Source organism: Homo sapiens, chromosome 14 (genome assembly GCF_000001405.40).
Source record: "Homo sapiens chromosome 14, GRCh38.p14 Primary Assembly".
NCBI classification, from domain to species: Eukaryota; Metazoa; Chordata; class Mammalia; order Primates; family Hominidae; genus Homo; species Homo sapiens.
The window spans coordinates 24,398,401-24,421,231 of NC_000014.9; the positions used below are offsets into that span (position 1 = coordinate 24,398,401).

The following is a 22,831-nucleotide window of genomic DNA, read 5'->3' on the forward strand; positions in this document are numbered from 1 at the left end:
CTTCAGGAGGGTCTGGGCTGCCCGCCAGCTCCAAGCTGTCCCTAGACTTCAGTGGGGGGTGGGGAGTCAGTGCTGTTACCCTTTCCTTCCTGCTTGGTCTCCAGCCCAGAGTTTCCTTAGGCCCCGGCCTCCCTGGGCTCCCCACCCTACTCTACCTTAACCCTTTCCTCCCAGGGAAGGAGTGGCCGAGGTCCCCGTTCTCTTGGGACGCCTGGGAGAGGCTGTTGGGGGTAGGGGGGAGGTGGGGGTAAAGGGGAGAGATCCTTGTTCCAAATCTCAAAAAAGGGTGCCGGAAACCAATCCTCCCCTCCTTCCTCTTCCCCGTCCTTCCACTAGCAAGAGGGGAACGTGGAAGGAAACTAACTTTGACCCCTGGATTCTGGCTCTGGGCCCAAAACTTGGGTGGAAGGCAGAGGCCTCCGGGACCCTCCCCGCCCCCTCCTCCCCCCCGCCGGCTCCCCCGCCCTCTCCTCCGCGCCCCTTTAAGCTATCCAGCAGACGGAGACAGAGTTGATCCAGGAGGGGCTGGCAGAGTGCTGGAGGGGGAAGGCTGGGGGCGGAGGGAAGGGCGGCAGGAGCCCGACCGGTCCCACCCCTAGCTACAACCCCGGGCAGGAAGAGCTCGTCGCGGTAGCAGCGGTCGAAGGGGACCAAGCTCCAGAGGGCGGGCGCCCGAGCCGTGCGGGGTGGGTCCCGCCGCCTGGAGGAAGGAGGCCGTGCGGGGGGCGCGCCGCGGGGAGGAGGGGGCGTGGCTTAGGCGCCTGGGGCTGGGGGCTGGGGCGCCTGCCGCCCCGAGACCCGGGTGACACTATCGTCTCCTTCGTTCCAGGAGCGGGCGGGGCAGCCATGCTCCTGTCTGGGGGCGATCCTCCGGCGCAGGAATGGTTCATGGTGCAGACAAAATCGAAGCCTCGGGTGCAGCGGCAGCGGCTGCAAGTGCAGCGCATCTTTAGGGTCAAGCTGAACGCCTTCCAGAGCCGCCCGGACACCCCCTACTTCTGGCTACAGCTCGAGGGGCCCCGAGAGAACATGGGCAAAGCCAAGGTAAACAGCTTCTCCCCACCCCCACCCATCTCTTCCAGCCAGATCACTCTCTCCCCTTCCCCTGGGGAGATGGTGGTCCGCAGAGACACCACCCACCCTGCCCCCGCCTGGATTTGGCAGTGTGGCAGGCAGGTAGTGGGCCATCCTCCTGCCTCGCCAGATCAGCCTGCGCTCCTTCCATGCCCGCTTCTTCCCTCTGGTTCCTTCCTTTCCTGCCCCACCCCTTCCCTACGTGTCACCTCTGTCCCTCAAGTGCACTGAGAGCACCTCCTCGGTGTGTGTCCCCCATGAGACTTCCCTGGCCAGGGCCCCAGCATCAGCAGTCCCACTTTTCCATCTGGGGAGCAACTCAAGGCGCTGTATTTCTGTGGCCTCTGCAACACACCTCTTTGTTCTCCACCAAGACTGAAAGGCCCAGGTCCTTCTGTCTCCTTTTAAGTCTCCTTAAATCCTGGGCTGCCCCTTGGAGCCTCTGAGTACTAGGACTGGAGGGGCCTTTAGAGATGCTTCTAGAGTGATACTGGCATTTTACAGATGAGGTACTGGTGGCCAGAGAGGGTAAGGGGCCTGGCTGAGTGCTCAGAGTCAGGTAGGTGAGGTGGTGGGGGTTGGACCAGAACCCAGGGCTCTGGGCTCCCTGCCCCACACTCTTGATGCCACTCAGCTTCTTGCAGGGGTTCAGAGTGGGGTGCAGCCCTCTTCCCAGATTCCCAGCCCTTGGAGATGGGTGGGAGTCTGGGAGGAGGGCTATGGGTTTTCAGATGAAAGGGCTTGCTATGTGGGGCTGGACCTTGGACAGGCCAGATCACAGTGCGCCTCTCTTGCAATCTCCCTGGCTTCTCTCACAAGCTTTTCCTCCCCTTGGGCCTGTCAGATTCCACTGTCCCCCAAGGTTTACCTCTTCCCTTAGATTCCTTTATCTTACTTCTTCTTTGTAGGAATGCCACAGCCTCCCTCTGCCCCAGACCACCTTCCCCTTCACCACGCACACCTACTGCAGATGGGTTTATACCTATATCTTAATTGGTCAAGGCCATGGGTGGGGAGGCCCAGAACTCGGCCAGCCAGCCTGGTAGGCAGGCAGGCTGGGAAGTTCCTCCCTCAACCCCTCTGTGGAGCTGCTAGGTCAGCAGTTTTTCCAATTTTGACAGAGGTGCTAGGAGGGGGAAGGGGTGTCTTCCCAAAGAACATATGTACTGGAGGCCTTGAGAGGAAGACATTTAGAAGCCGGGGTAGGGTAGGCTAACAAGAGGAGTGTTTTGGGTTCTTTGGGTTCTTAATCTTTTTGTTACTTTGAAAGGCAGCAGCTCACCCTCTTAGGGGACTCACACTTTCTTTTTCTTTTTTTTTTTTTTTTGAGATGAAGTTTCACTCTGTTGCCCAGGCTGGAGTGCAATGGCGTGGTCTTGGCTCACTGCAGCCTCCACCTCTGCCTCTTGTGTTCAAGTGATTCTCCTGCCTCAGCCTTCTGAGTAGCTGGGATTACAGGCACGTGCCACCATGCCCAGCTAATTTTTGTATTTTAGTAGAGATGAGGTTTCACCATGTTGGCCAGGTTGGTCTTGAACTCCTGGCCTCAGGTGATCCACCCGCCTTGGCCTCCCAAAGTGCTGGGATTACAGGCATGAACCACTGTGCCGGGCCAGGACTCACACTTTCGGAGGTACCCCCGCCACCCCCTCCTTGCTCAAATCCTGGATTGGCTTCTCCAGGCCTACCTGCTCCGTCTCCCTCTGCTGCTTCAGGGTTCTTCGGACCGCAGATCTCACACCTCAGGCTCCCACTGTAGGCCCAGCTAATGGAATCAGTGGCTCCCTTGATTCCTAGCCCTGTTCCTCCACTCCCCCTTTGTCTTCCCTTTGGGAAAGGCATTGTTGAAAAGTGGGAACCCAGCGTGAGGGGATTCTGGGTAGCTCCCTGCCTTATTTTACACAATGACCATAAAGGAGACTTTGTTGGCAATTTGGAGAAGGAGGACAGGGAAGGTGAGGGGCGGGGGGGGTTAAAGTTTTGTCTCAGGGGTTAGGGGATCTGGGTTTGATATGCTGTCACCAAGTTACAACCAAGATAGGAGGGGTATGGTGAGGAGAGTTTGAGACTGGGGTTTGCTACCTGTTAACTATCTGAACTGGGTGATCAGATCAAATAATTTATCCTCTCTTGAGCCATTTCCCTCATCTATGGAACAGACTATAATAATACCTGGTTCATGAAGAGTTTGTGAGAGTCTGCTGAAATCATGCATGTTACAATACTGTTATAAAATGTGGAGAGCTATAGAGTATAGATGTTAGCTACTATTGTTTTTGACTAGCTGCGTAACTTTGAGCAAGTCCTTTTCCCTCTCTGAGTCTCGATCTCCCTGTTTGTAAAGTGGAAGTCTTGGATTAAATGCTGTCTGAGGTCCAGCGATCTGACACATGAACATTTCCCAAGTGTAAGGATGTCTTGTGGTTCTCATAGGGAGGCAGCGTGGCTGGCCCCAATCTCAGCTGTAGGGACACAGAATCATGCACTTTGTTAGTGGCATACTGAACATAGGCCAACAGGCAGAGAGGACTCTGGGAGACTACAGGTTGCAGGACTGGGGGAGGGCTGATGGTGAGGGTGGCTTGTTGGGGTCTGAGGGGAGGAGGGGTCGAGAAGGATACAGGCTCATCTAGAGAAGGGCCTGAGTGTGTTTCTATGTGGTTGGTTTCTCAGGAAAATCTCTGTAAATCTTGAGTGCTTTAAAATTGTTTTGTTGTGGTGGGATTAAAGAACACTGAAGACATTACTGTGAAACACATACCCAGGCAGCAAAACAAACACTGGGGAGGCCTCTCTGAGGTGAAATCAGTGAGTGGAGAGGCGGGTTTTAGTAATGATCAGAAGAGGCCCGGGACAAGCCCTGCTCCACCCTTCTCCCCTTTGGCAGTGAGGTGAGGATGGGGTGGGCGGCAGAGAAGAGAGGTGACCACTGCGGGAGGTGATGGGGAGCCTAAAGGCAGTGGTGGTGGGCAAGAGTACCTTCTGGAGACTGGGTTCTGGAGCTCTGGGACAGGGTGTGGCCTGCTGACATCTGGCTTGGCTGTCAGATGGAAGTTGAACTATCTTTGCTGCACACTAACTGTGAGCAGTACCCTGAGAGTTGGTTGCGGTCAGTGCCTGGAGTTGGCTCCTATGGACCCACTGTTAAAATTTCGGGAATTGTGCAAGTGAGTGGAGGAGTATTTACAGCCATGGTGGGAGTATTTATGCCACAGAAATTGGCAAATGCGACAAATCAAGGTTACCCCCCACCCCCAGCTGATTGTTAAACATTTACCAGGACACCTGCTTGTGTTGTGGGCACTGAATACTTCTTTTTCTTTAAACTTAAATTTTCTTTTATCAAAGTAATACACATTTGAAAAGTCCAATTTTACCAAAAGGCTTAGAAGAGCACACAGAGGTTCCCTGCCCCGGCCCTCCCAATTCCTCCTTCAGTAACCATCCCCACTGACAGTATTTGCTCTGGCATTTACGCATCTCCACATTTCTAAAAGAATATGTAGACACTATTGTCTTTTAATTAATTGACGTTTGCTGCTATCTTTTTTTGGTCCCATTATCGTATGTGAGGATTGAGCTCCCTTTCACGGCCAGCCCCTCTTCTCAAGATAGTTCTGTTTCAATTACCTGCTAAATCTACGTTTAGCATTGCCTCATTATGCCTTGCACATAGCGTTCACATCGAAGCACTGAAGTGTACTATGATTTTGTTTTCTTTCTTACTTTTTGGGTTTTACTGAGGTCATTGAGGTTAAGCACTCCTTGTTTTTCAATTTGCCTTTCTTTGTACCTATTGTTAATTCTTACCACTTCCAGTAGCCTCTCAGTACAGTTTTCTACAAGGTCAGTCTATCAGTTCAAGGTGTTCTTTTGGTTCTAAATTTTTTCTTGGCGCCGTCTCTCCTGTCTGGTCAGTTGCTTTCCAGGCTGACACAGCTGTCGTTCTTGGCATCCTTTGCCTTTTTTCTTTGCTAGATACTCATGTCCTGGACCTTGAAACTTTTTCTTTCTTGGGTTGATGGAACACATCCCTCTGTAGCCTCAAGTTAAAAAGATGGTGCAGCAGCAAAGTGTATGCAGATGCCTGCTTTCAACATGCCTGTCTCTTGAGTCATACCCTCCAATCTGAACTAGCTGTCCTGTGTAATGACCATTGTCACCCTAAAACAGTGCCTGGCATGTAGTCAAGAATTATTTGTCGAATGGATGAATAAATTCTGAGATTTCTCTTCACCGTCATCCTGGAGATGGTCTTTGCTTCTTTCTTACTTGGTTTGCTGGAAAACTGCTCTCCAGTGGCTTCCCGGGAAAAGTTTTACAGGAGGAAAAATGCTGAGGTTGCATGTCCACGTTGCATAGCCAAAGGATATTTGATTGAGAGCTTGGCTGATATTGAATTATAAAAGGAAAATTATTTTCCTTCAGAAATGTGAGGGTTGTGCTCCATTTGGAGGAGCCTGAAGCTGTTCTGGTCCCTGGTCATTTGTGTGAGATGTTTTTTTCTCTGGAAGTTGTCAGTTTTCCCCAATGTTCTGCAGTCTCCCAGTGAGGCCCCTTTGTGCGGTTCTGTTTTCCTCCATTGTCAGGCACTCTTGTTGTACTTAGGGGGCCTTCTATCTGGACACTCATGTTCCTCAGATCTGGGAAATGTGGGGAAGTATTTAGTCGATGATTTCCTCTCCTGTGCTATCTCTGTCCTCTCTTTCTGGAAGTCCTCTGCTTTTCTTATGTTTTCTCCTCTTTTTCAACTTTAACTTTTTGTTCTGCTTTCTGAAGATTTCCTTAATTTTATCTTTGAAGCCTTTTCTTGGGTCTTTCATTTCTGCCATCAAATTTTTAATGTCTAGAAGTCACTTATATTCTCTCTGTTAAAAAATAGTATCCTACGCTTTTTAAATCCAATTTGAAACGTATGTATTCTATTCTTGTTTAGTGTCTACCATATTCTTTGTTACCTCTCTGAGGATAGAAATGATAGTAAGCTTTTTGAAGTTTTCTTCTCCCCCCTAGTTTCTCTTCTTTCAGGTTGCTTTTTTGTTTTCCTGTATGGTTTGTCCTCTGTGTTTCACATTAGAAGTTTTCCTCACAAGCCTGATAATCCTTGCATGATAAAGAGTGAAGGACAAAAAGCTGATTGGGAGTGGAGGCTGTGGGCAAGACTTGTTGGTTTTGAGCTTGATTGTACAGAGATTTGCAGGTGCTGTTGGTTAGGGACCCCGTTTTGTGATCTTTAAGTCTCTGCTCTTGGGCTGGCCAGGTTTTCCAGAATGTATGCCTGCTTCCCTGGCCTGGAGGGTCAGGGTCTGGCTGCCAAGCAAATCTCTGAGTGGGAAGAATGAGTTTCTCTGCGTTTAGCTTGCATTGTATACATCATTCTTTGGCCCTCCTCACTCCCTCCATGTTTTTTTGTGTGGTGCTCACACCTTCGATTATGCTGATCAACCTCGACTCCTAAGACCTTGTTTTGTACTCCCTGGAGAACAGCCCTCCAGTGAGCGGGAAGCTACTTGCCAAGCCTGTGTGTGTGTGTGTGTGTGTGTGTGTGTGTGTGAGAGAATGTGTGTGTGTGAATGTGTGTGAATGTGTGTGAATGTGTGTGTGTGTGTGTATGTGTGTTGGGAGTGGTTGGGCTCCCAGATCTAACTGCTCCTCAAAGAACCTGGTTTTTCATGTTCCCCTTCACTTCCAATTCCAGAGTTTCTTGTTGTTGTTTTCTGAGCCTTTTGAGTATCCTGCAGTGTAAATTGGGGTGGTTCTGGAAAGTAGACAATGAATGATAACTGACTTATGAGAAAGGAGAACCCTAAGTTAGGTGTTAAGTAATAAAGCACCTTGACAAGTACAGAATAATATTAAAATATGTCATATAAATGCTTTTATTTAACTTACAAGTTGACTAACGACCTGTGGGTATTGGACAATATATTCTTACAAATACAGTGCTCTTTTTCTGTGTCCTTTTCTATTCTTCTGTATCATCTTTCTACCTAGTTGTTAGTTGTTCCTGCCTCTTCTTCTCTACTTTTTCTCCTCTTGGAGGAAGAAGGTCTGGGTTGGCTTTAGGCAGGAAAGCTGTTCAGGTATTTTCAGGCTGTAAATGCCTGTTGTTTCCTTATCTTCTCTCCCTCTACAGTATAGACGGCATCATGGTGAAGACCCCCGACTGTGGAGCTAGAGTGCCTGAGTATCCCAGCCTACTAACTGTGTGATCTTGGACATATGGCCTTCCTTGCTCATCTAAAATGGGGATAATAGTATTTCCTTAAAGGGCAGAGAGAGGAATAAATAAGATAATGTGTGCAAAGTGCCTGACACATAATAAGCTCTCACTAAATATTAGTTCATATTTATTATTTTAAAAATTATCACAGTTCCTATATATTTCTTAATTTTAAAATATCGGGCCGGGCACGGTGGCTCATACCTGTAATCCCAGCACTTTAGGAGTCTGAGGCGGGTGGATCGCGTGAGGTCAAGAGTTCGAGACCAGCCTGACCAACACGGCAAAACCCCATCTCTACTAAAAATACAAAAATTAGCCGGGCATGGTGGTGCACATCTGTAATCCCAGCTACTGGGGAGGCTAAGGCAGGAGAATTTCTTGAACCTAGGAGGCGGAGGCTGCCGTGAGCTGAGATCACTCCAGTGGAAAAATTCTGGTATCAGAGCCTCTAGCTGTGCCACTGTACTCCAGCCTGGGTGACAGAGTGAGACTCTGCCTCAAAAAATAAAATAAAATAAAATAAAATAAAATAAAATAAAATAAAATAAAATATTGGACAGTTGATGGAACCATAAATATTCTAAGCTCTCTGCAGAAAGAGAAAGAAGCCACCCATAATCTTCTTCCCCAGCACATCTCTCCATTTTTCATGTTGTTTTCCGGTCATTGAAATGGGGGTGCCTGGGGTGGGGGAATATTTGTTAAGGTCTGAGACAGCCCACACCTGCTCAGATTTAACCTTGCTAGGCAGTGGGACCAGATGAGGTTGGGGTAGGAGGGGTTGGCTTGGGATGTCCATCAGGTTTTGAGCTGGTTTTGAACTGATTGAAAAGGGGTTAGACATGTATTTCAGGCTCTGAGGAAGAAGTTGCAGGTCTGTGGCCTCGGCCAGGTGGAAGAGGGACACGTAGGCCTGAGCCGGGAAAGATGGCCCGGGGACTGAGCAGAGGCACCTGGGTGGTCTTCAGGATCGCTGCTGGAGATCCAAAATGGAGTATGGGACTGCCAGGGGAAAGCAGGAAGAGGGATGAGAGGGATGACTATCAAAGAAAGGGGATGTGGAGGGGCATGGGGGCATATGAAGTCCACATGGGGTGGCTGATTGGAGCGAGAGCTCATGGGACCGCACAGATGGAACTCAGCCAGAGTGGAGAAACCCCAACCTCGCCCACCCCAGCCACTGCTAAAGATGGCAAGTGTGTGCCCTGTGAGCTCTGTGAACTCTAGGACTTGGTCTGCCCAGAAAGCCAGAGTTCTTCCTTCTCTTTAGCTATTGTGTGTATGTGCGGGTGCAGGGGTTCCCCTGGACACTGGCCCAGTGGCTTATCTCCTGCTCTGTTGCCTCTGGGCAACAGAGTTACTATGATTAGGGGTACAGGTTGTGCTAGAGGCATTCTGGAGGGGGATGAAGCTCGAGTCTCACATGATTACCCTGTAGTCACTGTGGTCTGCCAGAGGAGGTGGAAAAATTTCTAGTATCAGAGCCTCTAGCTGTGTGCCCTTGGGCAAGCTGCATAGCTCTTCTCAGCCTGCAAAATGGGAACAGGCTGTGCCAGGTGTCATCCTCAGTACTTTCTGCGTATTAATTCACTGAAGCTTCAGAGTGGCCCAATGAGGCAGGAACTATTACTGTTCCCATTTTACAGAGGAGGAACTGCAGGCACGGGGGCAGGCGTGTTGTGTGATTAATAACTTGCCACAGGTTGCATAGTTCCTAGCTTATGGAGGGTGCCCAGTAGTGTGCAGCCACTTTCTCCCCAGCTGTCACACAATTCAGGAATGCCAGACTGGGACTAGACCTCAGGAGCATCCAGTTTAACCTTTCTTTTTCTTGGTGAAGAGACTGCGGTGCTGAGAAGGTGATAGATGCCCCACAATTAACCTAATCAGTTGAGGTCGAGTTGGAGCTGCAACCTGGGTTCTTTCCCTCCTCTCTCCCAGGCTTCCCTGTTCTGTTGGTGTTCCCTGGAAAGAAATGGGTGTGTGAGGGTGCAGGACCAGGGAGAGAGTGGCTGGCCATGGGGGAGTCATTTGGCTCATGGTGGATGGGGGGTGGTAGTGGTGGGGCCACATGGTTAGTGAGGGGCTGGCCTTTTGGGTGGCGAGGGCAGATCCAGGGGCAGGCCCCCAACGGGCTGACTTCATTGTGTTCTCCCCATTGTGCCCAGGAATACCTGAAGGGCCTGTGCAGCCCAGAGCTGTGGAAAGAGGTTCGCTACCCACCGATCCTGCACTGTGCCTTCCTTGGGGCCCAAGGCCTCTTCCTGGACTGCCTCTGCTGGAGCACCCTTGCCTACCTGGTGCCTGGCCCCCCTGGCTCCCTGATGGTGGGCGGGCTGACTGAGTCTTTCATCATGACACAGAACTGGCTGGAGGAGCTGGTGGGGCGACTGCGCTGGGGCCCTGCCCCTCTGCTGACCCCCCGGGGGATCTGGGAGGCTGAGGTGACCCGGGCCTTTGGGGCCCTGGTCTGGATCCGTGGTGACCAGCATGCAGGGGACCTACTGCAGCTGCCCCCAGCGGTCCAGGAGCTGCTGCTGAGCCTGGTGCGGGATGCTGCGGGCAAGGAAGACATCATCGAGTGGCTCAGCCGCTTCGGCATCTCTGACTCCCACTCCGATCCGGAGGTTCTAATCTGCCCTCCCCAGCAGCAGAAGGAAGCCCCAGCCATGGTGTCCGTGGGAGAGAGTCCTGGACCCTTTGTGGACATGGGGACCCTCCAGAACAGGGGCCCAGAAAATTCAAAGAGATTATCTAGCCTGGGAGCCACTGGGTCCCTGATCACAGCCCAGAGCACACCGCAGGAGGCAGCAAACCAGCTGGTACGGTAAGTTCTGGAGAATGAGCCTGGCTTCTCTGATCCTACCCCTGCTCCCCTACCCTAAGGAAATAGTAATAGTTTGGGACCAAACTGGCCTTCCACCTTTTCAATGAACTTGGGCTTCCTCCAGGGTCGGTTCCAACAACCAAGATGGTATGGACAGTGCTCAAGAGGAAGGGACAGTGCAAGCCACCAGCAGCCAGGACTCCACGAACCACACACAAGCCTTGTTGAAGCAAAGGCAGGTCCAGAAGATAGAAGATAAACTCCTCTTCCAACCTCCAGTATCAGCCCTGGGTGTGTGCCCACCCTGGAAGGCCTGGACCCCGGGGCCAGCCTTTGGGCCATTGTGGCCGGGGGCTATTGCTGCAACCTTCTGGAGGATCAATGAGCTGCATTCTCTACATCTGGCCTGGCTCCTGTCCCAGGCGTGCTTCAATTTCCCCTTCTGGCAGAGACCTCTGGGCCCCATTCAGTTGAAGCTGCCAGGGCAGAATCCTTTGCCCTTAAATCTGGAGTGGAAGCAGAAGGAGCTGGCTCCTCTGCCTAGTGCAGAAAGCCCAGCTGGTAGACCAGATGGGGGGCTGGGAGGAGAAGCAGCCCTGCAGAATTGCCCAAGGCCAGAGATTTCCCCAAAAGTTACGAGTTTATTGGTGGTCCCTGGGAGCTCAGATGTAAAAGACAAAGTTAGCTCGGATCTCCCACAGATAGGGCCACCCTTGACCTCTACACCCCAACTACAGGCTGGAGGTGAGCCGGGGGATCAAGGGAGTATGCAGTTAGATTTTAAGGGACTGGAAGAGGGACCCGCTCCAGTGCTGCCAACAGGGCAAGGGAAGCCCGTGGCTCAAGGGGGGCTGACAGATCAGTCAGTACCTGGAGCTCAAACAGTGCCTGAAACTCTCAAAGTGCCCATGGCTGCAGCAGTGCCCAAAGCTGAAAATCCCTCCAGAACTCAAGTGCCATCTGCAGCTCCCAAACTGCCTACATCTCGAATGATGCTGGCAGTGCACACAGAGCCTGCAGCTCCCGAAGTGCCTTTGGCTCCAACAAAGCCAACAGCTCAACTGATGGCCACAGCTCAAAAAACAGTTGTGAATCAACCAGTGTTGGTAGCTCAAGTGGAACCCACAACTCCAAAAACTCCCCAGGCTCAGAAGATGCCTGTAGCAAAAACATCACCTGCAGGTCCCAAAACACCCAAAGCTCAAGCCGGGCCTGCAGCTACAGTTTCCAAAGCACCTGCAGCTTCCAAAGCACCTGCAGCTCCCAAAGTACCTGTGACCCCCAGAGTCTCCAGAGCTCCCAAAACACCTGCAGCTCAGAAGGTGCCCACGGATGCAGGGCCAACCTTGGATGTAGCCAGACTTCTGAGTGAGGTCCAGCCTACATCAAGGGCTAGTGTCTCCTTACTGAAGGGCCAGGGGCAGGCTGGAAGGCAGGGTCCCCAGTCCAGTGGCACCTTGGCCCTCAGCAGTAAGCACCAGTTTCAGATGGAGGGGCTCCTGGGGGCTTGGGAGGGGGCCCCAAGGCAGCCACCTCGCCACCTGCAAGCGAACAGCACAGTGACCAGCTTCCAGAGGTACCACGAGGCCCTGAATACACCCTTCGAGCTGAACCTGTCAGGGGAACCTGGAAACCAGGGGTTGCGGCGAGTGGTCATCGATGGCAGCAGTGTGGCCATGGTGTGAGTAGTCACGGGCGTGGGGTGGGCTGGGGATGCTGTGGACCTGGGGCAGGGCATCCCTGGGGGACAGAATGTGGGCATCCCTTCCCAACCTTCCTATGGGCGACATGGGGAAGAGATGGGAGGGAAGTGGTCCATCCATGTTGAATGGCTCCTGCGTGCCAGGCAGTGTGCATGGAATCCTCATAGCAGCCCTCAAGGGCAGGTTTCTGGTTTCCCTGTCTGATAGATGCTGAAGCAGGCTCAGAGGTGGGAAATCTTGCCCAAGATCCCTGAGCCAGCAAGGGGTCCAGCTGGCCTTTTGGCTCAGATGTGTCCACTGCCAAGGTCCATGCCCTTCCCAGGCCAGCTTTTAAACTTTTAGCCCAAACTTCAAGGCCCAGCACAGATTTCTTTTCCTGACTCTGCTGGCCCTTAGCGATTGCCCTTCCTCCACAGTACTTACTGCTGTAGAGGTGTTAGCATAAACATGTGCATGCCACATAATTTGCCACATGATAGAGTAGTTATCTGTGCAGAGCACACTCCCAGCACACTGTCGGTGGCCAGGGAATTTTTGTTTGCTTTAAGCCCTCAACTGAGCTCTCTGAGTGGAGGGGCTGCCTTCTTCCTCTTGCCCTCAATGTCCCTACACACATGCGTACACACAGGTACATGCACACACACACACACATGCACGCGCACACACACAGAGTTTCTGGCAGTGCCCTGCACCAAGTAGGTGCTCACAGAATGTCTGAGTATGGAGGGAAGGGGAGAGGGCATCATTGGTGTCCTTGGTGCTGGCATTGCTTGCTTGCTGCCCCAGGGCTGGCTCTGAGGGAGGAGTGGTGAGGCAGGGTCTTTCCTTGTCCCACGACCCCACAGGCATGGCCTGCAGCACTTCTTCTCCTGCCGAGGAATTGCCATGGCAGTGCAGTTTTTCTGGAACCGGGGACACCGAGAGGTCACTGTGTTTGTACCCACCTGGCAGCTGAAGAAGAACCGGAGGGTGAGAGGTGAGGTGTCCCCTGCCTGCCCAGCCTCCACAGTGTCACCAAGCTTTCTTCTCTCTGCCTTGCTGCCCCGACCCTCTGCCACCCCAGAGTGGCCATTTCCACTTAGCCCTCCCTTGACCATTTCTGTCTTCTGCCTTTCACCCCCAGAGAGCCACTTTCTGACGAAGCTACACTCGCTCAAGATGCTTTCAATCACACCCTCCCAGCTTGAGAATGGCAAGAAGATCACCACCTACGATTATAGGTGTGCCGGTCCCCAGGCCTGCCCTCCTGGGCTCAGGGAGTTGGGCCTGGCTGGTGTGTCAGGTGGAGTCCGGCCTGTCTTCTCTGGGGAAATGGAGGCAAACATGTTGGGGGTGTCGGTTGTGCAGAGGGTGGGGTGGAGCACGGGCATCTGTCAGCAGAGGGATGGGCACATTGAGGAAAGGGCTTGAGGTTGGCTCTCCCCAAGCCCGGAGTTGTTTCTGACTTTGGGACTCTGGAGTCCGTCTGCCTTAGCTAACAGGCATTCTTCCCCCATGACCTGTGAACATCAGAGAGGTTCCCCAGGGTTTTGGGTGCCCGTTTCGGTTGAGGCTCATGTCTCCAGACTGCTTTAGTCTTTTCCTCCCTCGGAGCCCCGGCACTGGTGGAGGTCTGTGCATGGCTGATGTGGATGGAGCCCTGGGCAGGGCTCTGGAAAAGGAGAGCCCTGAATGCCTAAACCCTGAATGCTTGCCTGCTTGTCAATCCTAAGCGCCCACCCCTCAGCATGGCTGCAGGACCTCTGTGCTCAGGGGAAGCCTGTGACCCTGCCTCTCTTAGGGCAGGGAAGGCCCTGGCATAGTCACTGGTCCTGGGTTGGAGTTGATGCTGGGCGGACAGAGATCTTGGTTTCACATAGGCAACTCTCATGCCAGGCAGGGAGAAGTTCTGTTTCTCCACACTCTTCCCAAGACCTGGCACCCAACCAGGCCTGGGAAGGGCTGGGCAGAGAACCTCACTCATCCCTCCTTGTAGAGCTGGTCCCCTCCATTGAGTCTTCAAGTGCCTTTAAGTTCAGGCGTGGGTTTGATGGAAGATGGCTTTTCCGCAGACCGTCCCTCTGCTGGGCACTTGAAGAGTAGCATGCTTTGGGGAGCCCGAATGGAAAGTTTCAGGGACTACTGAGAAGTAGGTAGCCTTTGCTTTCTTTCCTGGTCACAGCCCTCTTTAGAGGAGAGGTGATCCTTGGAAAAGTGGATTTGTTTATTCAGGTATGTGTGCTTATATGTGTTAGCGTATATATGTCTGTATGTCTTGGCATGTATATGAATATTATGCATTGGTGAAGCATTATAATGGAATATTTGTGTGTGTGCTGTGTGGCCGGCACTTACCTAGACACTTAAAAGTATTATCTCATTCAGTTTAATCCTCACAGCAACATGGGGTAGGTATTTTATCTCTGTTTTACAGATGCAAAAAACGGAAGCAGTAAATACACCTGTGTGAATGTGGACGAATGTGAGTTTCTGTGTCTGTGCTTGTCTATGTATGTGCCTATGCGTATAACAGGGGTGTGTGTTTGTATATACAGCTGGGAATGCGTGCATCCAAGGTCACCCTTGGATGACCTTGATCCCTATCAGTGATCTCACATGGCTGCATAGAGAAGGGGATGGGCTCGGGGGTCCTGGATTTCTGAGTAGGAAGGGCAGTGTCTTTGTCTGACACACCTCAATGTGAAGCTGCAAGTTTATTTTCCCAGATGACCCAGGAAGTGAGGGGGCTAGTTACTGGGTCATTAGTGACTTCCCCTCTCCCTGCAGGTTCATGGTAAAGCTGGCAGAGGAGACAGATGGCATCATTGTCACCAATGAGCAGATTCACATCCTGATGAATAGTTCCAAGAAACTGATGGTCAAAGATCGGTAAGATGGTCCCCAGAGGCTTGAGCCATTCCTTCCCCTTGGATGTCAGGCAGCCCCTGGCATGGGAGGGATTAGGGCTGGAAGAGAGGCCTTGGAGTAGTGCCCACCAGCACCTGCCAGGATGTGGGTCTCAGCGCCATGGAGAAGCCAGGCGACAACAGGGTGTGGGTGGGTCAAGGGCTCACAGTGACTGTGCCTCTTCTCCCCCTGGGCCCAGCTTGCTGCCTTTCACCTTTGCGGGGAATCTCTTCATGGTGCCTGATGACCCCCTGGGCCGTGATGGCCCCACCTTGGATGAGTTTCTGAAGAAGCCAAACAGGTAATAGGTCAGACCTCCCCAGCCTCCCAGGCCCTCCTGGGGCTGATCGGAAACTTCCCCTTAGTGTTGGCCAACATCTAGTGCGTAATAATGATCAGAGTGATCTGACTTTTTCATGTCTTTATACTTGTGCCACATGTTTATGTGTTCATAAACCACTTACAGTAGGTTTTAATACATATATGAAAGCACATATGTAGAATGTAGTTTTAACATTCTACATGCATCCTTCCAAACTGGCATTTGTGCTCAATGATTTATTAGTTTTTTCAGATGTATCCTATGCTAATTCATGTAGCTCTGTTTAATGGTCATATAGTGTTCCATTACATGAGTACCCAATAGATTTTTCTGTTTTCTTGTTGAGGGCCATTTGACCACTTCCATTATATGCTGTTGGGTCCGAGGCTGCAGTGAACAGCCTTGCTCTTATTCTTTGTATCCAAGGGAAGCTGTGTCTAGAGTATTCACCAAGTAGGATTTTTTTCTATGTTTATCGTCTCATTCGATCCTCACAACTTGAGTTATATGTAAATGACCACTGTCTTCATTTTATAGATGAGGAATCTGTGACTCAAGTGACTTTTCCAAGGTCACATTGCTGGTGCCAGCACAATTGGTTTGCAGTAACTTGGATCCTCTGCTGCCCACCTGCCAGTTCCCTAGGCCCAGCAGGGAACCTTTGTCAGGATCTTCTGGGCAGAGCTCTGCTTCCTGGGGCCAGATCCCCCAGTCTTACCTTGCCAATTTGGAAAAAAGTGATGTGGATGAGGTTTGTCTGCTGTGTCCTCACAAGCTCCTTGTCAGGCTCTCCTTCACTTTGGTGACACTGCCCCCCCTTTTCCAGGATTGCTCATCCTGGGTTAGGCTGGAAGCCGCCAGTCATCTCTTATCAAACCACTGGCTTACAGCTAGTTTAAATGTTACTTGGTCAGTGAAGTTTTGATTGGATGAGTCTTCAAGGCACAAATGAACCTCTAATACTGGGGGTCTGGCCCATGCATGAGGTAGAGGAAGTGTTTATAGGCAGGGGCCCAATTGTGCCTATGCCATGCAAGTTGTTGGCACTTGGCCCAGCCTCAGGACACTTTGGAATGGGGTTTCCACAGAGGTGCTTTCCCTTTGGAGGATTGCTCACGATGGGGCTGCCCTTCCCTCTTCCATCTGTTTTGGTGTAGGTTGGACACTGACATTGGCAACTTCCTGAAGGTGTGGAAGACCCTTCCTCCCAGCTCAGCCAGTGTCACTGAGCTGAGTGATGACGCTGACTCTGGGCCCCTGGAGAGTCTGCCGAATATGGAAGAAGTCAGGGAAGAGAAGGAGGAGAGGCAGGATGAGGAGCAGAGACAGGGGCAGGGCACACAGAAGGCGGCTGAGGAGGACGACCTTGACTCTTCGCTGGCGTCAGTGTTCAGGGTGGAGTGCCCGTCCCTTTCGGAGGAGATCCTGCGGTGCCTCAGCCTCCATGATCCCCCTGATGGGGCCCTGGACATCGACCTCCTGCCAGGGGCAGCTTCTCCCTACCTGGGCATCCCCTGGGATGGAAAGGCTCCCTGCCAGCAGGTTCTTGCCCACCTGGCCCAGCTCACCATCCCCAGCAACTTCACCGCACTCTCCTTCTTCATGGGCTTCATGGACTCCCACAGGGATGCCATCCCTGACTATGAAGCCCTAGTGGGCCCCCTGCACAGCCTCCTCAAGCAGAAGCCTGACTGGCAGTGGGACCAGGAGCATGAGGAGGCCTTCCTGGCCCTGAAGCGAGCCCTGGTGTCTGCCCTCTGCCTGATGGCCCCCAACTCCCAGCTGCCCTTCCGCCTGGAGGTGACCGTGAGCCACGTGGCCCTGACGGCCATCCTCCATCAGGAGCACTCAGGGAGGAAGCACCCCATAGCCTATACCTCAAAACCCCTCCTCCCTGATGAGGAGAGCCAGGGCCCCCAGTCAGGGGGTGACAGCCCCTATGCTGTGGCCTGGGCCCTCAAGCATTTTTCCCGCTGCATTGGAGACACCCCGGTGGTCCTGGACCTTTCCTATGCCTCCCGGACCACTGCGGACCCTGAGGTGCGGGAGGGCCGCAGGGTTTCCAAAGCTTGGTTGATCCGATGGTCCCTCTTGGTTCAGGACAAAGGCAAGAGGGCCCTGGAATTGGCCCTCCTCCAGGGCCTGCTGGGGGAGAACCGCCTGCTCACCCCCGCGGCCTCCATGCCTCGCTTCTTCCAGGTTCTGCCGCCTTTCTCTGACCTGTCCACGTTCGTCTGCATCCACATGTCGGGCTACTGCTTCTACCGTGAGGATGAGTGGTGTGCTGGCTTTGGTCTCTATGTTCTATCGCCCACCAGCCCCCCTGTCTCCCTTTCCTTCTCCTGCTCCCCTTACACGCCAACCTATGCCCACCTGGCAGCCGTGGCCTGCGGCCTGGAGCGCTTTGGCCAGTCCCCACTCCCAGTGGTTTTCCTCACTCACTGCAACTGGATCTTCAGCCTCCTGTGGGAGCTCCTGCCCCTCTGGAGGGCTCGGGGCTTCCTCTCCTCTGATGGGGCTCCACTCCCTCACCCAAGCCTGCTCTCCTACATTATATCCCTCACCTCTGGCCTCTCATCCCTTCCGTTTATCTACCGAACCTCCTACCGGGGCTCTCTGTTTGCTGTGACAGTGGACACCCTGGCCAAGCAGGGTGCCCAGGGGGGTGGGCAGTGGTGGAGTTTGCCAAAGGATGTGCCAGCCCCTACAGTGAGTCCCCATGCCATGGGCAAGAGGCCCAATTTGCTGGCATTACAGCTGAGTGACAGCACCCTGGCCGACATCATTGCCAGGCTGCAGGCTGGGCAGAAACTGTCTGGCTCCTCACCGTTTAGTTCTGCCTTTAACTCACTCAGCCTCGACAAGGAGAGTGGCCTGCTTATGTTCAAGGGAGATAAGAAGCCCAGGGTCTGGGTAGTCCCGACGCAACTCCGGAGGGATCTGATTTTCTCTGTGCATGACATTCCCTTGGGGGCCCACCAGAGGCCCGAAGAGACCTACAAGAAGTTGCGTTTGCTGGGGTGGTGGCCTGGGATGCAGGAGCATGTGAAAGATTACTGCAGGAGCTGCTTGTTCTGCATCCCCCGAAATCTCATAGGCAGCGAGTTGAAGGTTATTGAGTCCCCATGGCCCCTCAGGTCGACCGCCCCCTGGTCGAACCTGCAGATCGAGGTGGTGGGCCCGGTCACCATAAGTGAGGAGGGCCATAAGCATGTACTTATTGTGGCTGACCCAAACACCAGGTGGGTGGAGGCATTCCCCCTGAAGCCCTACACACACACGGCTGTGGCCCAGGTGCTGCTTCAGCATGTGTTTGCAAGGTGGGGTGTTCCTGTGAGGCTGGAGGCAGCCCAGGGGCCCCAGTTTGCCCGGCACGTCCTTGTGAGCTGTGGGCTGGCCCTGGGAGCCCAGGTGGCCTCCCTGAGTCGGGACCTCCAGTTCCCCTGCCTGACGAGCTCAGGGGCCTACTGGGAATTCAAGAGGGCCCTCAAGGAGTTCATCTTCCTGCATGGGAAGAAGTGGGCGGCCTCCCTGCCTTTGCTGCACCTGGCCTTCAGGGCCTCCTCCACTGATGCCACACCGTTCAAGGTCCTGACCGGGGGTGAGTCAAGGCTCACGGAGCCCCTGTGGTGGGAGATGAGCAGCGCAAACATTGAAGGGCTCAAGATGGACGTCTTCCTGCTACAGCTGGTGGGGGAGCTGCTGGAGCTCCACTGGAGGGTGGCTGACAAGGCGAGTGAAAAGGCCGAGAACAGGCGTTTCAAGCGGGAGAGCCAGGAGAAGGAGTGGAATGTGGGTGACCAGGTCCTTTTGCTGTCCCTCCCCAGGAATGGCAGCAGTGCCAAATGGGTGGGTCCCTTCTATATCGGGGACCGGCTGAGCCTGTCACTCTATAGGATATGGGGCTTCCCAACCCCAGAGAAGCTGGGGTGCATCTATCCCAGCAGTCTGATGAAGGCCTTTGCCAAGAGTGGCACCCCGCTGTCCTTCAAGGTCTTGGAGCAGTGAGCGGGAGCAGCGGGGGTGCCCCCTGCCCCAGGGCCGTGGGTTTCTGCTGCTAGGCCTCCCCCTGTCCCAGCAGTGCTCTCAGTCCACTGGGGGCCCTCAGTTGTGCCTTTTGTAGAGAACTTGCTTCATAAAGCTTTGCTGAATTGCCTTGAACTAGGGACCAGCATCCCCATGGAAACATCCCCAGTTTGGGGTACTTGGAGAATTTGCCAAAGGCTGTCAGATATGGGTCCCTGGCAGTTTTACACTGGGAAATGGAGTGCTCCTCTAGGCTATACCAGGCTCAGTGTCTTCTCCCCAAGTATCCTCTTTCCCCTTCACATGTAGGTGTGTGGTGGTGTGCACACACACTCACGAAAGAATCTATCTTGGCCATGAAACTGTGGCTGTTGACCTTGGAATTGGAACCACAGTCCTTTCCCATACAGAAACCCCAAATGTGGGCTCCTCCCTCCAACCTGTTCTTTTGGGGACCCTTTGCCCTTAGAGCTGTCACAGATGACATAAGCCTGGGCAGGCTGTGGGGAGGCCGCTGCCTCCTAGCCTCACGGTCAGCTTTCTCAAGCCAGGTGTGGCCTGCACAGCTCTCAGGGCAGGGCTGGCCATCCTCCCAGGCCTCAAGGGCAGTGTCTTGGAGTGGGAGGATGGCCAGCCACAAGCCACCAGCTTGTCAGCATGGGAAGGGCAAGGGGGAAATGGGTTGGCCTACCTCATTTGACTCCAGCCAATGGAGACAATTCCTGACCCCTGCTTTGATGGTGTTGACCCCACAGGAATCAAGGATCTTGATGCCAAGTGTGGCATCTCTATCTGAAGAGCTGCTTCTGTTAGACCCAGGGGCCCCGGCCTCTGTTTTAAGGGGGCAGGGCGTCTGCAACAGGAGTGGCACACGGTGAAGTGCTGGCATGGCTCTACCTCCCAACCCCTCCCAACCCCATCCCAAAGCCTACAGTCCTCTGCTCCTTCTACCTCCACTGTATCCTGCATCCCAGACCCTACAGATTGTGTGATTGCTTCATCTGTATCACCCCCCGAGTCCTGTGGACCTGCCTTCTGTGTAGAGCAAAACCCAGGCTCCCTCACAGCCATTCTTTGCAGAGATCACCCTTGCAGTGAGTGTGAGTTCCTTCCAGGTGTGTGCGCGTACACTCACCCTCTGAATTGCTGCCGCTGCCAAGGAAGTGGGCTCCAGGTGAAGGCCAGTGCCACGTCACTCTGGCTGGCCTTCTTAGTAGTTTCATTTCTCCGGAAGCTGAGCCAGTCTCCTGGTCTAGCCCAGGTTGCCAGAACGCTTGGCATTGCAGAGTGCTAGAGCCAGTGGAGAACTTGCCAACTTGATTGTTTTACAGCAGAGGAAAGAGGATCACAGAGGGAAAATGATTCACCCAAAGTCACACAGCAAGTTCATGGCTGAGCTGAGACCAGGATTAAGCTTCCTGACTCCCAGTTCACCATGAAAAGGGTTCTGGCAACAGGTTCAAGCTGGAGAATCCTTCAAAATGCTACACCCACATTCTCTCCAACTCTTCATCTCCCTGATCTTCCAGACAAACTACCTGGATGTTGCCCTTAAACCATTTCTAGCTGTTAACCCTGTCCAGAAAAATGATTGAGTGATAGCTGAGAAGTGGAAAGTGTGGGATTTTTGGCAGGTGCTCTCTTTCCTCCGCCCCCCGCGCCATTCTTTCTCTTCCTCCTCTCTGTAATGGTATGTCCAGCCTCACTCTCCCTCCCTGGTGCTGTATGCGTTCCCCCTGTTAGCTACATTTGTGATCACATACCCTTCTTTTAAGTGAATTTTTTTCATTTGATTTGTCAATAAACGAATCAAACTGGAGCTGATGTCCAGTTCTTTGTTTAGCTTCAGTCTCAATTGTGGGAATGAGGAGTGTGGGGCAGTCATGGGGTATGGCTGCTATATGTTTCCCAGATAAACTTGCAGATTTGAAGAAAAGTACCTTTTCCAGACCATCTGCCCCAAGCTCTTACTGTACAGATGAAGAGACCAGGGCCCAGAGGGTGATATGCTTAAGGCTCCATAGCTGCTTCATGGCAGGGCTGGAAGGAGAGTCCCACCTCTGGGCTTCCAAGCTGGTACCCTTGGCAGTTAATGTCTTGGAAGTGGGCAGGGTTGGAATGAAAACGAGTGATGAGGCAGGGCACGGTGGCTCATGCCTGTTATTCCAGCACTTTGGGAGGCCGAGGTGGGTGGATCTCTTGAGGCCAGGAATTCAAGACCAGCCTGGCCAACATGGCGAAACCCCCTCTCTACTAAAAATACAAAAATCAGCTGGGTGTGGTGTCAGGCACCTGTAAACTCGGGAGGCTGAGGCAGGAGAATTGCTTGGACCCGGGAGGCGGAGGTTGCAGTGAGCTGAGATCACACCACTGCACTCCAGCCTGGGTGACAGAGTGAGACTCCATCTCAAAAAGAAAAGAGAAAGAAGGAAAGAAGGAAAGAAGGAAAGAAGGAAAGAAAGAAAGAAGGAAAGAAGGAAGGAAGGAAGGAAGGAAGGGAGGAATGAAAGAAAGAAAATAAATGAATGATGAGAGAATGGTGTTAGTGCTGAACCAGCTTCATTTTACTGGAAAAATTATAGACCTAGGTTTGCATCTATATTTGCTACCTATGCAGGCTGTTTCCTGAGGTCTCAGTTTCCCCATCTATAAAACACAGGGTAACAATTCCTAATTTATGAGATGGTTCAAGGATTACATGAAATAATCTGTTTGAAGAGGCCAGTATGGCTTGGGATGGAATAGCATTCATCATATGTAGCTAACATTACTCTTCTTCCTGCCCTGGGAACTCTTGCTGGTCTCTCCCCTCAGGATCAGAGACCTTCTTAACCCAGGCCAAGCTTCGTGACTTTAGGCCTTTGCTTTTTGCTGCCTTTCTCACTTGCCCGGGGTTCTGCTCAGCACTGGCTGGCGTACGGGTTGGGGTGGGAACCATCCTTCCTGAGAACTCCCCAGCTCCTGTGCATACCATTGTTCATTCAGTATTTATAGGACACCTGCTATGTGCCAGGCTCTGCCTAGGTGTGGGATGGCTAACAGGTAACAGGAGTGACACGGTCTCTGCCTCTTTGCAGCCCACAGTCAGGTGAGGGAGACAGACAATCCAACAAACAAATACAGTTCAGGGTGGTAAGGGAAACAATGTGGCCTAGGAGCCCATGGTGCAGGGGCCTGGGGTCTCAGCCCACATGACAGTCAGAGAAGCCTTGCCTGAGCCCCTTCACCAAAAGTAATAGGATTTTGCCAAGCCACCTTTCCAGTCAGCCTTCCACTTTAGAGTGCTGACCCTTTCCATTGCTGACCTGTACTACAAACAATTTATTACTTTTGGTTATTACTTTTTACTCTAGATAACTTTAAGCAAGAATCAGATTTTACTCACGCTGGCTTCTAAGTCCTCTGACAGTGAGGTTTTTCTTCTTTGCTGTTCAACAATCTACCAGGTCTGAACAGAAGTTTGAGATTCCTCCTATTTTTGGAGGGGTGAATTAAAGAGTTTTGTCCATGGTAAAGCACCATGGACGCTCTAGGCAACCAGTCACTGCTTCTCTGGTTTACACCATCACAATTATTCCTTCTTATTTGGGCCCTGGCAGGAGGGCTTCCCCAAGTCTCTAACAGAGAAATTACAAAGTTGCCAGTATCCAGACAATCCCATGACATAAGCAAACAATAAAAATAAAGAATATTCCTATCCCGTGCCCCTGTTAAAACTTACATAAGCTATCTGGTGAAGTTGGGTCCACCTAAGCCTTGCTATACCA

At 52.6% G+C, this 22,831-nt stretch overlaps 1 protein-coding gene across 2 annotated transcripts, besides 1 other annotated feature; it reads left to right on the forward strand.

Annotated features, from left to right (window-relative positions):
* On the forward strand, positions 603-20,883 carry NYNRIN (NYN domain and retroviral integrase containing). 2 transcript variants are annotated; one of them, NM_025081.3, is made up of 9 exons: positions 603-686; positions 830-1,044; positions 9,469-10,127; positions 10,252-11,808; positions 12,676-12,806; positions 12,954-13,050; positions 14,597-14,698; positions 14,916-15,017; positions 16,196-20,883. In NM_025081.3, the coding sequence occupies exons 2-9, from the start codon at positions 847-849 to the stop codon at positions 19,044-19,046; spliced, it is 5,697 nt and encodes a 1,898-aa protein (NP_079357.2). In that variant the 5' UTR covers positions 603-686; positions 830-846; the 3' UTR covers positions 19,047-20,883. The 2 variants fall into 2 exon arrangements, with proteins under 2 accessions (NP_079357.2, XP_011535318.1); XM_011537016.2 differs by lacking the exons at positions 603-686; positions 830-1,044; positions 9,469-10,127; ... (1 more) ...; positions 12,676-12,806; positions 12,954-13,050 and adding an exon at positions 13,057-14,291.
* Positions 657-746: a silencer, noted in NCBI's record as "silent region_5642". NCBI's record gives its function as "represses an Ori minimal core promoter by ATAC-STARR-seq in GM12878 lymphoblastoid cells {active_cell/tissue: GM12878}" and the evidence as "EXISTENCE:reporter gene assay evidence [ECO:0000049][PMID:35858748]".

What these genes read in the sequence shown, in the direction of transcription:
- NYNRIN (NM_025081.3), top strand. Translation starts at nt 847, where the DNA reads ATGCTCCTGTCTGGGGGCGATCCTCCGGCGCAGGAATGGTTCATGGTG. An exon ending in ATCACCACCTACGATTATAG is followed by an intron (nt 13,051 to 14,596) that starts GTGTGCCGGTCC and finishes CTCTCCCTGCAG; the next exon opens with GTTCATGGTAAAGCTGGCAG. An exon ending in AAACTGATGGTCAAAGATCG is followed by an intron (nt 14,699 to 14,915) that starts GTAAGATGGTCC and finishes CCCTGGGCCCAG; the next exon opens with CTTGCTGCCTTTCACCTTTG.